Here is a 14,497-nt window from a genome sequence, read left to right on the forward strand (position 1 = left end):
AAAATTAAATATAAAAACCATAAAAAAGAACCAACATTAAGAGGCAAAACATGGAGTAGATAAATATTTTTAGGAAATATGAAGTCCAAGGATTAAAATGTTTAACAAATGCCCAAATATAAACCAAAAAAAAAAAAAAAAAATTACCAGGAACCCTATTTGATAAATGGATACAGTGTGAGAATAATTATTTACAAAAGAGAAAATGTGAATAGAAAATGAAGGAGAATAAGGAAATAAACAAGGGTAGTTATAGAATAATTTAAGATAAAATAATAGGATGCCATTTTTGCATATCAAATTAGTAAATATTAAGTCCATATGTATAGTTTGGGAATTAATTGACCAGTACTTAACAAGAAACTTGAAAATGCTCATTTCTTTTGATGTACTAGTTCCACATGTAGGAGTCTATCCAATGGAAATAATTCTAACAGCTAAAAAGCCCCATGCATAAAAATGTCCACTGCAATGTTTTAAAGCAAAATATTATTTGCTTTAAAAAAAGCAGAAAGGAGAAAGAAAGAAATAAGAACAAAGGAGTAAGAAGAATATTTAATGTATGCTTACCATATGGAGGTTATATAAATTATCCCATTTAAATCTCACAGCAGTTCCATGAAGTAGATATGATCACCATTTTATAGAAAAGGTAAGATGTTTTTGCATGCTCAGGGAGACTAAGTTCTTTAAAGAAACTTGGCTAGTAACAGTGAAAAAATGGAAACAGCCTAAATGTAAATAGTAGAATGGTTAAGTAATCTAGAGATTTGATGAATTATTTTTAAATTTTTAATATAAAAGAATACAATGGAAAAATAGTTTAGGATAAGATGTTAAAAATGCATAATAGAAAATGTTATATTCAGTATGATTGAAATACACAGAAAAAAGACTGGAATAAAATAAATAAGCACTAACCAAACACAACAGAACCTGACCCTGAGATTGTATCAAGGAATGTAGTCGGCTGGTGGCCCTGAGAACAAAGCAAAGTGCAGTTAAATTATCAGGCCGTGTAAATGATGAAGGGAAGCCCAGAAAGACCCTGAAAGGCTCAAAAACAGTTTAAGCAATTTGGCTAACACAGGAGATAGAAAAAGTAATTTGGGGCAGATACGGTAAATCTTCTATAACGCGTAGGGCTGTAATTCTTTTCATGGCAAGTTGCTGGGAAAATCATAAATTGGTCATGGTTAAAACGTCAGAAGACTCAAAATTACAAGAAAAAATAATGAATTATGAAGGTTTTGGCTTACTCTAGAAGTCGTACTACATTTTCTGAGAGAAGTAGGAGGTGAGACGAGAGTAAGTAACTTCTGCTCTCTGAATATTTCAATTAGGCAGCTGGGGAAATGTGGGTGGAAAAATAGAAATCTTTACTTTCAAGTTATTAGAAGAAAGTATCTGTCTATGTAAGCTTTAGGGAAAAGGGGCCTGGGATAAACACATGTTCAAGCCATAGAAAATGTCATTTATGTACACCTACCTCCCTAGAGCAGACTAATCTTCAATTGTATGAATTTGATAGCATTTTGAAGAACTTAATAAATATCCTAAATATAATGTTTTAAAACTCAGCCTTTGTATTTCCTTTGTCTCCTACTTTCCCTGGTCTCTTATCCATTTTCATATTCTTTCTTATTATATTAAAAAAGAAACCATATATATTATATATATGTGTATACACATATACACATACACACATGTACACACACACACACACACACACACACATATTACTACAGTTAATTTGGAATTTTTCATTTATGGCCACTATTGACCAAAAAGAAACACAACAAAAAACAAATGCTTGGTCAACTCAGCATGAAGTGCACAGGTATGTGGGAGTAGAACTTAGCACATTCCAAATGCGATTGGTTTCTATTTAATGAACACCATCTACCCTCACCTACTTTGATGGCCAAAAAGTGAATTTTTCTTCTGCCACTGTAACAATGACTACTGCATAATACCTGGTTGTCACCTCTCCACTATAAATTCTGAGAGGGCAGACCATACTTGTCTTGTTTACTGCGGGAGCCCCTGCACCAGACAGCGGCTCAATGAGTATTTGTTGAATGAATGAATGAGTGAGTGAATATACAAATCCTACTCATCTCTCCAGACTTAGCTCAAGCCCCACCTTCCTGATAACATCTTTCCTCAAAGCCCCAGTGACCGATCTGATTATTATATTACCAGTGTGCACCACTACTTAACACACCTGACTCTACACATCATTTTTATCATTGTTTTTCAGGTGTTGGTGTTTTGTTTTGTTTTTTTCAATTTAGAGAGAAAGGCTCTTCAAAGACACTTATATACATATATATTTATTCTATTTCTCAAAGCACTTTTTACAGGACACATGTAAAATCCTCAGCAAACACCTGTTAAATTCAATGGTTAAATCTTTTAGATGACTTTTGACTTTGTGGTATTTCTAAACATTTTCTCTGCTGAATGCATGCATTGTATTAGGATTTCACCACGTGGTGGACAGAAAACAGGGAATTTAGTGTCAGCTGAGCTGAGTTTATAGCTCTGCCATTTCAATGCTGGAAAAGTCACCGAAACTCTGCTCTTCTGTTTCTCTATTTGTAAAATGGAAACATTAACAAGAGCAATAACAAAAAGAAATATCTACCTATCATAAAGGGAAGACAGTGCAATCAAATGGGATAATGTAGGTGAATGAGTTTTGCAAATTGGAAAGCAAATATTAGCCATTCTATTTACCAATTTTAAAAAACGCAATTGATGTTGCAAGACTGTGTATAGCAATAACAGTTAGTGTGGCTTTTTCTGAGAACAAGGCTATTAGGCAGAAGAGAAAGGTGATGAGGAAAAGAATCTCAAGTACAACTTGCCAAACATGCCCCAGTCATAAATAAAAGACTGTGTCCAACACTCGCGGTACAGAGAGATTACCAGGCACCTGTCACCTACACCCTTCGGCACTGCTGCAAGCATCTCTGAAACCAGGAGAAAGCTTACCAGACACGAGCTGCTGTCCAGGCAACCCTACGGGAACCATGCCCAGGTTATTCATGGCTGTAGCCCAGGCTGTGGGATCTGTCACGGACATGTTGAGCTGGGTCGTGTCTATCGCTATACTCCCCAAACCATCGGCTGCTGTGGGGAAAAACAAACCATGATTTAGAGTCCATAGGCAAGGGTGTTTGTTTTAAAGAAAATCACATTTCTAGATATGTGAGGCTTCATTTAGCACATTCCCAAACTACAAAAAAAAAATAAAGAACTATAATCTGCAGCAATGTTTTCTCTAGACATAAACACAAAGTGTTTCCAAATACTTTCTGGGAGAAAACTTAATGACATGTAGTTTATATTATACACAGCATGCTATTAAGGAGGTACCCCTGGAAAAAAATCGAAGAATTGTTTCCTTCTCCCAGTGAAACAACGTTAGTTAAGTCACAAGGCTGAGAGGCAAAGCAGTAATACTCTCTTGGTAAAACAAGTTAATTGGCTTACTGTTTCTAGGTGTAATTCTTGAGCAGGCAGGCCTTCTATCTAATAAGAAAATAGTTGTCAAGCAGTAGAACTGGTCCTGACTGAATTTATTAAGTGTTACCTCGTAATCTATTCCTTCCTTTACAAACTTTTACATTATTACACTAAGAAAATACAGGTGTCTACCTAACGTGACTTTTCTGAAGGATTTCTAAATAAATAAATCAAATTTAAAAACAGGTAGCACAAAGCTTAAGAAAACACAAAACAAAACAGAAGAATGTGTCAAATTTGACTTAGTGCTCTTTCATTTTCACTAGTTCTACAGACTGATTTCTTTATGGGCCCAGGCTCCTGGTTCAATGCATATTTTTCAAGGTGGGGCAAGCTTTTCCACTAAGAACTCAAAAAATCCTTGTTTGTGTCCTGTGCTGGCCACTGGCATTTACCTGCAGCCATCATCTGAGGAAGCTCCTGGGGAAGCTGGGTGATGTTCTCAACTCCACCTGCATCTACCATTGAATTATGAGTGTCCAGAGGGGCAGGAACACTTTGATGGCTGAGTGCAGGGTCCCCTCGGAGGTCATCAGATTCTGCAAAACGGGACAGAAGTGTGGTGAGAAACCTTAATAGTTAACTGAGATAAAACGTCAAGGAACAAACTGTTATCTATTCAAAATCAAAAACAAAGACCGATTTCCAGTCTCAGGCACAGAAGAAATGCTGCTTCCCATCGCTCAGCGGCTGTCTTGTGGCTCAGTTAAAACCTTAGAGCCCTGTGAGATGTGTGGGTCAACTCATCGACTCACCAGGAGCCTGGGCTGGCTGAATAAACAGCCCCATTTGTGAGTACCTCAAAGGCCTTGCTTCCTACTGAAGCACCTTCACAAATGGGGGCTTATCAGTCCCTGCACAGCCTTTTCCACACACACTACACATCAATGGAGAGGGCAGAGTCAGGGCTAAAGAAGATTTTTTTAAGTTAAAAAATTAATTGATGCTGTTACTTTGGAAGATGGTCGTCTGTGGAATGTATTCAGAGAGGGAAAAAAGTTGGGAGGAGGAAGGAAAAAGGAAGAACCCATTCACCATGCAGCTGGAAAAGGAGGGTACCTAAATTACAATAGTCAGGAAAGGCAGAAGAGAAGAATGGCATGCTGTCCATAAAGGAAGATCTAGAGGGTGTTAGGGAGGCAAAGGAAGAGCATTTGGTTTTTTCAGCTCATTGGAAAGATAATTTAACTGGCCACAACTTTTTGGTTTGAATTTTCCTTAGAATTGCCCAGCTTATATATATATATATTTTTATATATTTATATATATTTATATATATATATTTATATATAGTCTTTTAATGCACTTATCTAATAAATATAACAATTAAACATTAAAGTTACAAAGTTCTTCTCAATCTCACACTATTTATAAAATGCTATGCCTTCTCTCCACCCTTAGAAATGCAAAAACAGAGCTTTCACATGTATTTTAAGTGCACTTTCACCATTTCAAAACTCAGATGAGTGGCATGACAAGTTTGATCTTAAGTAGATTAGATATAACAACTAAGTCTAAATATTTATTTTTATTTTAGTATAAATTTAGAAGTTTTTCTAAACCATGTTCCTGTTAATGATGATTTTAGAATTAGATCTTATGGTTTGACAGTGTATCTAATGTGAAGTTCGAACCTTTTATGGCATGTCTTTTTGTTTCTTTCATTCTTAGGTATAAGAATCAGTAATTCCTTGAGCACTGCACTGTCAAAAAGAACTTCTGATCAGTTGAGCAGAAGTTTAATTCAAATGGAAGCTAAGGGTTCAATTCTCAACAACAGGTGAATAATGAGCAAATAGTTTTTATGGTCTCAACAAATCCCTAGCCCTCAACTAGAGGGGTATGTAAGATAGTGTGGAATTTTTTTCCAATTGTCTGTCAGGAAGATGAATCATCATCATCATCCAACAGTGAATGATTCTAACTTTGGAAGCAAATTGTACTGAGAATAAATATTTTATTCCTTCCCACTATACTATCCAAATGAACTCAGAACCTGCATGTGTATTGTGCATCAATTATCTTAGGCTATGGGTGCCATCAGACAAAGAGATTCTCACCATAGAAAATAAATTCAACAGCATAAGAAATGCATAGCTAACCTAAATGTCTGGTCTATTCACCAACGATCTTTCTACGATGAAATCTCAAAGCACTTCTCTCTCCACTTCCAACCATTTCAGAGTAGCAAGGCAGAGTCAGGCTAGAATGTGTTCATTCTTTTGTTCAAATGGCCCTGTAGCAGAGCTGTTTCAGATCTTTGCAACGTCACTATTTGTCTTACTTATCTCCCCAAATGAAGTTTAGTGGCTAGCCTCCTTCTACCTCAGATTCTTCCCAAATGGGCATTAATCACACATTTTTTTCTCGAGTCTGCAGTTCTGGAACACTATATCAGAGAACATCCCTCTACTTTGTAGGCTCATGACTTGTGCCTGACCCACCACATTTCACCTTGACTTTTTGCTACACTGTTTTAGGGATGGCTTTAGTTTTCCTTGGCTCTGTAACAGTCTGCTCCAATGGCAGTTCTCACTTTAGTGGTTACAGTCGTATAAAGGGGCATCAAGTGTCCTGGAGACCCATCGTTTCTACCTAATACTTTCATGGCCATCTTAACAGACTGCAAGTGTTTCATTGAAAACAGTAAGCAACTGCTACTGTTCCACTGAAAAAAAGCATTGTTCTGTTGGCAAGATGTGGTGTATAAACCTAGATTTATCCCCCAATGAAACTCTTGTGACATTCAATGTATTACATCTCTTCAGTCTCCCAATCCAATGTTTTTTTTTTTTTTTTTTTTTTTTTTTAGTATTTATTGATCATTCTTGGGTGTTTCTCGGAGAGGGGGATGTGGCAGGGTCACAGGATAATAGTGGAGAGAAGGTCAGCAGATAAACACATGAACAAAGGTCTCTGGTTTTCCTAGGCAGAGGTCCCTGCGGCCTTCCGCAGTGTTTGTGTCCCTGGGTACTTGAGATTAGGGAGTGGTGATGACTCTTAACGAACATGCTGCCTTCAAGCATCTGTTTAACAAAGCACATCTTGCACCACCCTTAATCCATTTAACCCTGAGTTGACACAGCACATGTTTCAGAGAGCACAGGGTTGGGGGTAAGGTTATAGATTAACAGCATCCCAAGGCAGAAGAATTTTTCTTAGTTCAGAACAAAATGGAGCCTCCTATGTCTAATTCTTTCTACACAGACATAGTAACAATCTGATCTCTCTTTCTTTTCCTCACATTTCCCCCTTTTCTTTTTGACAAAACCGCCATTGTCATCATGGCCCATTCTCGATGGTCGCTATCTCTTCGGAGCTGTTGGGTACACCTCCCAGATGGGGCGGCCGGGCAGAAGCGCTCCTCACTTCCCAGACGGGGTGGCCGGGCAGAGACGCTCCCCACTTCCCAGACGGGGCGGCCGGGCAGAGATGCTCCCCACTTCCCAGACGGGGCGGCCGGGCAGAGGCGCTCCTCAGTTCCCAGATGGGGTGGCCGGACAGAAGCGCTCCTCACACCCCAGACAGGGCGGCCAGGCAGAGGCGCTCCCCATCTCCCAGACGGGGCAGCCGGGCAGAGGCGCTCCTCACTTCCCAGATGATGGGTGGCCGGGCAGAGGCGCTCCCCATCTCCCAGACGGGGCGGATGGGCAGAGATGCTCCCCACTTCCCAGACGGGGTGGCCAGGCAGAGGCGCTCCTCAGTTCCCAGATGGGGCAGCCGGACAGAAGCGCTCCTCACATCCCAGACGGGGCGGCTGGGCAGAGGCGCTCCTCACTTCCCAGATGATGGGTGGCCGGGCAGAGGTGCTCCCCATCTCCCAGACGGGGCGGCCGGGCAGAGATGCTCCCCACTTCCCAGACGGGGCGGCCGGGCAGAGGCGCTCCTCAGTTCCCAGATGGGGCGGCCGGACAGAAGCGCTCCTCACATCCCAGACGGGGCGGCCGGACAGAAGCGCTCCTCACATCCCAGACGGGGCGGCCGGGCAGAGGCGCTCCTCACATCCCAGATGGGGTGGCCGGGCAGAGGCGCTCCTCACTTCCCAGATGATGGGTGGCCGGGCAGAGGCGCTCCTCACTTCCCAGACAGGGCGGCCAGGTAGCAGCGATCCTCACTTCCCAGACAGGGCAGCCGGGCAGAGGCGCTCCTCACTTCCTAGACGGGGTGGCCAGGCAGAGACGCTCCTCACATCCCAGACCGGGTGGTGGCGGGGCAGAGGCACTCCTCACTTCCCAGATGGGGTGGCGGCCAGGCAGAGGCGCTCCTCACTTCCCAGACAGGGCGGCCGGGCAGAGGGGCTCCTCACATCCCAGACAATGGGCAGCCAGGCAGAGACGCTCCCCACTTCCTAGATGGGGTGGCGGCCGGGCAGAGGCTGTAATCTTAGCACTTTTGGAGGCCAAGGCAGGCCGCTGGGAGGTGGAGGTTGTAGCAAGCCGAGATCACGCCACTGCACTCCAGCCTGGGCAACATTGAGCATTGAGTGAGTGAGACTCCGTCTTCAATCCCAGCACCTCGGGAGGCCGGGGCGGGCAGATCACTCGAGGTCAAGAGCTGGAGACCAGCCCGGTCAACAGGGTGAAACCCTGTCTCCACCAAAAATACAAAAACCAGTCAGGCGTGGTGGCGTGCGCCTGCAATCCCAGGCACTCGGCAGGCCGAGGCAGGAGAATCAGGGGAGCCCGAGGCAGGGAGGTTGCAGCGAGCTGAGATCACAGCAGTACAGTCCAGCCTCAGCAACAGAGGGAGACGGGAGACGGGAGACGGGAGACGGGAGACGGGAGACGGGAGACGGGAGAGGGAGAGGGAGAGGGAGAGGGCCAATCTAATGGTTTTAATGACATACAACTTACTGTGGCTACCATGTGCCTGGGATGGTGATTCTAAAGTAAGCTCTGTCACATCTTAGGAATTTCCAATAGTCTCAAGGCTGCCGTGACATTGTTCACAAAATTTAAGTTGATTCGGTCACTCATTTTGGAAGAAAGGTAATACTTTTAATTAATTACCAACTAGTAATTTATGAATAGTTGCAAGAATGATTTTGGTACTTTGTTAGCATCTATTGTTCCTATTGAATACCTGCCTCTTTAAATGATTCAAGACCATAATGCCTAATTTATCATTCACATCAATTTCTCTGCCTTAGTTTTATTATTTCTAAACTATAGAAAAGATTAATCTTCTTAGCGATGTTTATTTACACACAGAGATGTGGGGAGTTAAAAATTATAGCTAATAAAGCACTCTGAATACAGTAGGTGATAATTATTACTATTTTATTTGGAAATGTAGTGTTTCCATTAAGATACCCTGGGATCTTTGTGTTCTGGTAGATAATTATGTAATTAATTCTAAAACAGTGAGTAACACTTGATATTTCTAAAAGTAAGTGTTGCCCTAGTTTTCTGTGCCACACCTCAGTTGGAGCACAATATTTCATTTTCCACCATTCCTTTATAAAATTATATGAGGTAGGCCAGGTGCGGTGACTCACACCTGTAATCCCAGCACTTTGGGAGGCCGAGGCGGGTGGATCATCTGAGGTCAGGAATTTGAGACCAGCCTGACCAAAATGGTGAAACCCTGTCTCTACTAAAAATACAAAAATTAGCCAGCAATGGTGGCGCATGCCTGTAGTCCCAGCTACTCAGGAGGCTACGACAGGAGAATTGCTTGAACCCGGGAGGCAGAGGTTGTAGAGCCGAGATCACACCACTGCACTCCAGCCTAGTTGCCAGAGTGAGACTCCATCTCTAAAAAAGTAAATACATAAAATAATATAATGTAATTTAAGGCTGGGCGCAGTGGCTCAAGCCTGTAATCCCAGCACTTTGGGAGGTGGAGGCGGGCCAATCACCTGAGGTCAGGTGTTCGAGACTGGCCTGGCCAACGTGGTGAAACCCTATCTCTACTAAAAATATAAAAATTAGCTGGGTGTGGTGGTGCATGCTTGTAATCCCAGCTACTTGGGAAGCTGAGGCAGGAGAATCGCTTGAACCCAGAAGGCAGAGGTTGCAGTGAGCTGAGATTGTGCCACTGCACTCCAGCCTGGGCAACAGCAAGACTCTGTCTCAAAAAAATAAAAATAAATAAAAATAAATAATACGATGTAACTTAAAAGATGTATAAATATTTTCTCTCTAGGTTTTTTCTGCCTATGCAACTACAAAAACTTTCAAGAGATTCATGACCAATTATGAAATTGGCAGTTTCTACTTACAGCTTTAATGAAGTATGAGCACCACAAAACAATCTGATACACAAAATGCCAAGGATAAAAGTACAGCTTTGTTTGGCCTTAACAGATATCTAACTTGTTTCCTGTTAAGATATATTCAAGTATAAAATCTCATACCAATTTCATAACTGTTCAACAAAATATATTTATGTTCAGTATTTCATTGGGCTAGATAATGGGGCAAATATTTTTTGAAACTTATCAAGTCTATGAAAATACTATTTGGCTTAAAAAATGGCACAGGTTTGGGAGGCTGAGGTGGCAGGATCACAAGATCAGGAATTTGAGACCAGCCTGGCCAATATAGTGAAACCCCGTCTCTACTAAAAATACAAAACTTAGCTGGGTATGGTGGCGGGTGCCTGTAGTCCCAGCTACACGGGAGGCTGAGGCAGGAGAATCGCTTGAACAATTTCTATAGGTATCAGCGATGCACACATCATGAATAATAAAACCTACCTGTAATTGTCCACAAAACACAGATTCCTGTTAAAGGAGGGTAGAGATCAGCTAGGTATTGAAAAATCCTTCTTATTGAAAAAAAGAAAAAGGCTGGGTGTGGTGGCTCATATCTACAACCCCAGATAGGAGCTAATATCTATAATCCACTTTGGGAGACCAAGGTGGGAGGATTGGTTGAACCCAGGAGTTTGAGACCAGGCTGGGCAACATAGGGCGATTTCATCTCTACAATAACCTTAAACAGTTAGTCAAGCATGGTAGTGCCCTCCTGTCGTCCCAGCTGCTCAGGACGCTGGGGTGGGAGGATTGCTTGAGCTGGGGAGTGAGGGGTGCAGAGGTTCCAGTGAGCTGAGATTGTGCCACTGCACTCTAGCCTGGGCAACAGATTGAGTCCCTGTCTTAAAAAAAGACAAAACAAAACCAAAAAAAAGCATGATTTTGTTTGGTCTAAGTCCTTAGGTTTATACCTACTTCAATAACAAAATAATTGTGGTGAAAGAATCAGATTTCTTAATGTCTTGTAAACAGTTGATACCAGGCCAGGCACGGTGGCTCATGCCTGTAATGCCAGCACTTTGGGAGGCCGAGGTGGGTGGATCACTTGAGGCCAGGATTTGAGACCAACCTGGCCAACATGGTAAAACCTCATCTCTACTGAAAATACAAGAATTAGCCGGGCGTGGTGACGTGCACCTGTAGTCCCAGCTACCTGGGAGGCTGAGGCAGGAGAATGGCTTGAACCTGGGAGGCAAAGGTTGCAGTGAGCCAAGACCAAGCCACTGCACTACAGCCTAGGCAACAGAGTGAAACTCCATCTCAAAAAGAAAAGAGCTGATACCAAAGGAAGCTTATTTCATATGGTATCAGCAAATTTCTTATTTTATAAGAACTCTCCATTAGCATTATCATGGTATATATTTACAGTAAAAAGAAAGATACATTTCCTTCCAAAGTTCACTCTCCTTTTCCATCACTAAGGAAATACCTAACTTCGATCTTCACATAGTCAGTGCCATACTCTCGAGGTTATGGAAATGTTCCACGGTTTAAAACAATATAGATAATTGTGAAGTAGGTATGCTTATGTATTAACTCTTTGATTCTTTAAGCAATTATGAATAGTAGGGGAGATACTTCTGCTTCCTGTAATGATAAACTATGTAACTGTAGATCAATCTTCCCACTGAGGAACAACTAAAAATCTTAATATCTTCCATCAGTTTTGTAAAATTCTCACTATCATCTTTTCATATACAAAAGCAGTTCAAAGGACATTCTCTGATTATTGTAGTGGGTTACTAATCTGGCTTCTAAGGAGAATGGGTCCTGTTAACTACTGGGTGTTTCATCTTATTGTTAAGGGAGGTGAGTGGAATCTGCAAGTTTAGGGGCAGAGTAGGAATTGCTCTGTAAAGTGTGGTAAAAGAAAACATAAAAGCTGAATGTTCTGAGGGGAAAGAAAGGAGGGATCTTTGGTGCCCACCCATGAAGAAAAGATGACTACAGAGAAGATCAATGACTTAAGCAGAATTTCAGGTGGTTTCACTGGGAAGCATACAGTGTAAATCTCTCCTCAGCCCCTCCCCAGAAATGTCAGCTAAATCTGTTACTCCTTATTTCTTAGATAGGAGTAAGTTTTGGGGTATTGGGGAGCACTTAGAGGAGAGTTTCAAGAAAAGAATGAAAAGGTAGCTAATGGGATTATATAACATCCTACATGATAACGCATGATAAAGACTCAAATCTGTTAAATATAGAGGATGGTGATTATTTGTTAATGATCAATGTCAGCTGATTAATGGGAAATAATAGGATTAAGGTTTTGAGGAATAGATTTAGATTAGGCATATCATGGGGAATTTCTGATGAGATGACTGTAAAGTAGGAGTATTATATCAAATAACACTTAAAAGCTCTTTCTCAGTGATGGAGAGAAAAGCCATTTCTTGGAAACAGTATGGGCAGAAAATGGAGTTGGACAAAGATCAATTCAGATAGGGGAGAACCCTATAGCACTTAGTGTCAAACCCATGAAATCAAAAGGTCTTCTTTAGTATCTAACTAGTTATTCATATACAGATGCTCCTCAATTTATGATAAGGTTACATTCTGATAAATCCATTAAGTTGAAAAAATAGTAAGATGAAAATGTATTTAATGCTGGCAATACAACAGACAGTCCTCAAATGACGATGGTTTAATTTACAATTTTTTAACTTTACGATGGTGAGAAAGCACTGTGCATTCAGTAGAAACCATAACCCCATCACAAGTTGTAAGGAGCTTCTTGACTTGGAGTTACATCCCAATGGAGTTATGTCCCAAAAGCATAAGTTGAACCATCCTAAATCAGGGACCATCTGTGTTTATAAAATCACTGAACTTTTTCCTGAAGTGTCACATCACACTACATTGCACCTAAGGAGAGATGCCACTCCTACTCTTTTTCCAGTTTTCTGTTAAGGCAGAAAGATAAAGGAGATATATACTCTTTCTCCCATGCTCTCATAGCACTCTGTACCTTGCTCTATCCCAGCACTTTCACTCATATTCTAGTTAGTTTATCTCTATCATGTCTCTAATAAACTATAAGCTTAGGATGATCAAGGAAACTAGTCATCTGTGCATACCCTGCAGCTAGCAAGCAAAGTACCTGAAATGTGGTAGGTGTTAAATATATATATAATATAGTTATAAATTTATAAAATATATTTTACGTTTTATATAAAATATAAATATTTTACATGTAATTTCAAATGAATTCATGCAAGGAGGAAAGAAGAGAGGAAAGTAAAAAATGAAGAAAAAAAAGGAAAAGAAGGAAATAATAAAGGAACCAAGAAAAAAAAAAATCTCAGTTCCAGAATTTAGTCCCAAAGCTTGGAAGTTTAAAGCTAAAGAACACAATGAGGGTGGAGGGATTTTTCTTGTATACTAGAATACAGATGAATTCAAAGTGTCAAAGAATGACAATTAAAAAAAAATCTGTCAGATCTTTCAAGATAAGCTTTAGATGCACTTAACAAGTCACCCTCTAAGCTTTAAGATTCCACACCTCCCTGGCAACCAATGTAGGATCACAAGCAGGTTACAGTGATGTTCTCCTTTTGTGAGACTTCTTGCAGCTGCTCTTTGAATGAGCTGAAATCTATAAATAACTGCATCTCCAGACCCATTAAGCAGTACATTAGTGTAACAAAGGCATATATGTACAGTACTAAAGAAGTGAAATTGTTGGAAGAAAGGAAAAGTTTCCATTTGGCATGCACCACAGAGGATGAAAAGCAGACCCAACCATTTCTCAAACATGAAATTCCATTATTGGTTTGTGATTACATCCTCCACTTTTCTACTTTGTATAGCAGCCAATTTTAAACTACAAATCATCATCTTTCCATCTTAGAGAGGACATGGTTTCTAAATGGGTAAGGTTTTACCCACAGCATGTCTATCTTTGAAGAACTCTATATTGAGAGAAAGAGACAGAAAGAGAGATGACCTGAAGGCCCCCCTCTAAAAACATGCAATCAAACAAAATGACCAAATTTGCCAAGGAGACAACTCAACTAGCATGTGCAGGACAGCAGAGAAGAACAATTTTCTTTTGGCACAAAGAAAAATATCACTCGGCATTACAAATATAAGTGTAGAGACATGACAAGTAAAATTATTTTTCTCAGGAAAACTTTGCTTTTGGAAAAAAATATGCTTTATATATCTAAATTGAACAAATAACAAAAAAAATCTTGAGACCTTATGTATAAAGTGCCCCTCTTTCCATTAAAAACAGAAAAGAAAAGAAAACAGGCCTTGATGCTACTATGGTAATATGTAGGGATTGGTACCATCGGAGGTTTCCAGAAGCCACTGGAGATCTTGCCACATATCCTCTGTGGGGAAGGGAGGCTACTGTATGCAGTTTTAAAGTCTTTGTATAGGCAGGTTTTAAAGTGTAGGACCTTTCACATTTAGACTTCTAGAGATTTTCTGAAAAGGGCAACATTAGACTTGAAGACAGTTTATGAAATACGTAATGGCTCAACTCCTTCCCCTCATTCATGGATATCAATCAACCACATACACAACCTGCTGTCATATGTTGTTGTTTTCTACTTTCCAAAATACACAGACCATAAAAAAAAAAGTGATCACCGCTAGACTTTGCTGGTGAGTAAATTATTCAAGAAAGCAATATTATCAGTAAACATAAGCCTGGATCCATTAAAGCTAGAAGAGTCCCATTTTACGCAAAGCTTTTCT

The 14,497-nt window shown here is 40.6% G+C and overlaps 1 protein-coding gene across 31 annotated transcripts in view; it reads right to left on the bottom strand.

Moving 5' to 3' along the window:
* ENOX1 (ecto-NOX disulfide-thiol exchanger 1) overlaps positions 1–14,497 on the bottom strand; it is a 573,843-nt gene that overhangs the window by 195,786 nt on the left and 363,560 nt on the right. For 29 of the 31 annotated variants that reach the window (XR_007063686.1, NM_001347965.2, NM_001347963.2 and 26 more), the window contains 2 exons: positions 3,930–4,073; positions 3,001–3,138 (listed from right to left, as the gene is read on the bottom strand). Coding sequence is in view for 30 of the 31 variants with exons in the window: in NM_001347963.2 (NP_001334892.1) it covers positions 3,001–3,138; positions 3,930–4,073 (282 nt within the window). In the remaining variant the exon portion in view is untranslated. The remainder of the gene's footprint in view (positions 1–3,000; positions 3,139–3,929; positions 4,074–14,497) is intronic. The other 2 variants (NM_001347971.2, NM_001347970.2) reach the window with 1 other exon arrangement.

This window comes from Homo sapiens, chromosome 13 (assembly GCF_000001405.40).
Source record: "Homo sapiens chromosome 13, GRCh38.p14 Primary Assembly".
NCBI classification, from domain to species: Eukaryota; Metazoa; Chordata; class Mammalia; order Primates; family Hominidae; genus Homo; species Homo sapiens.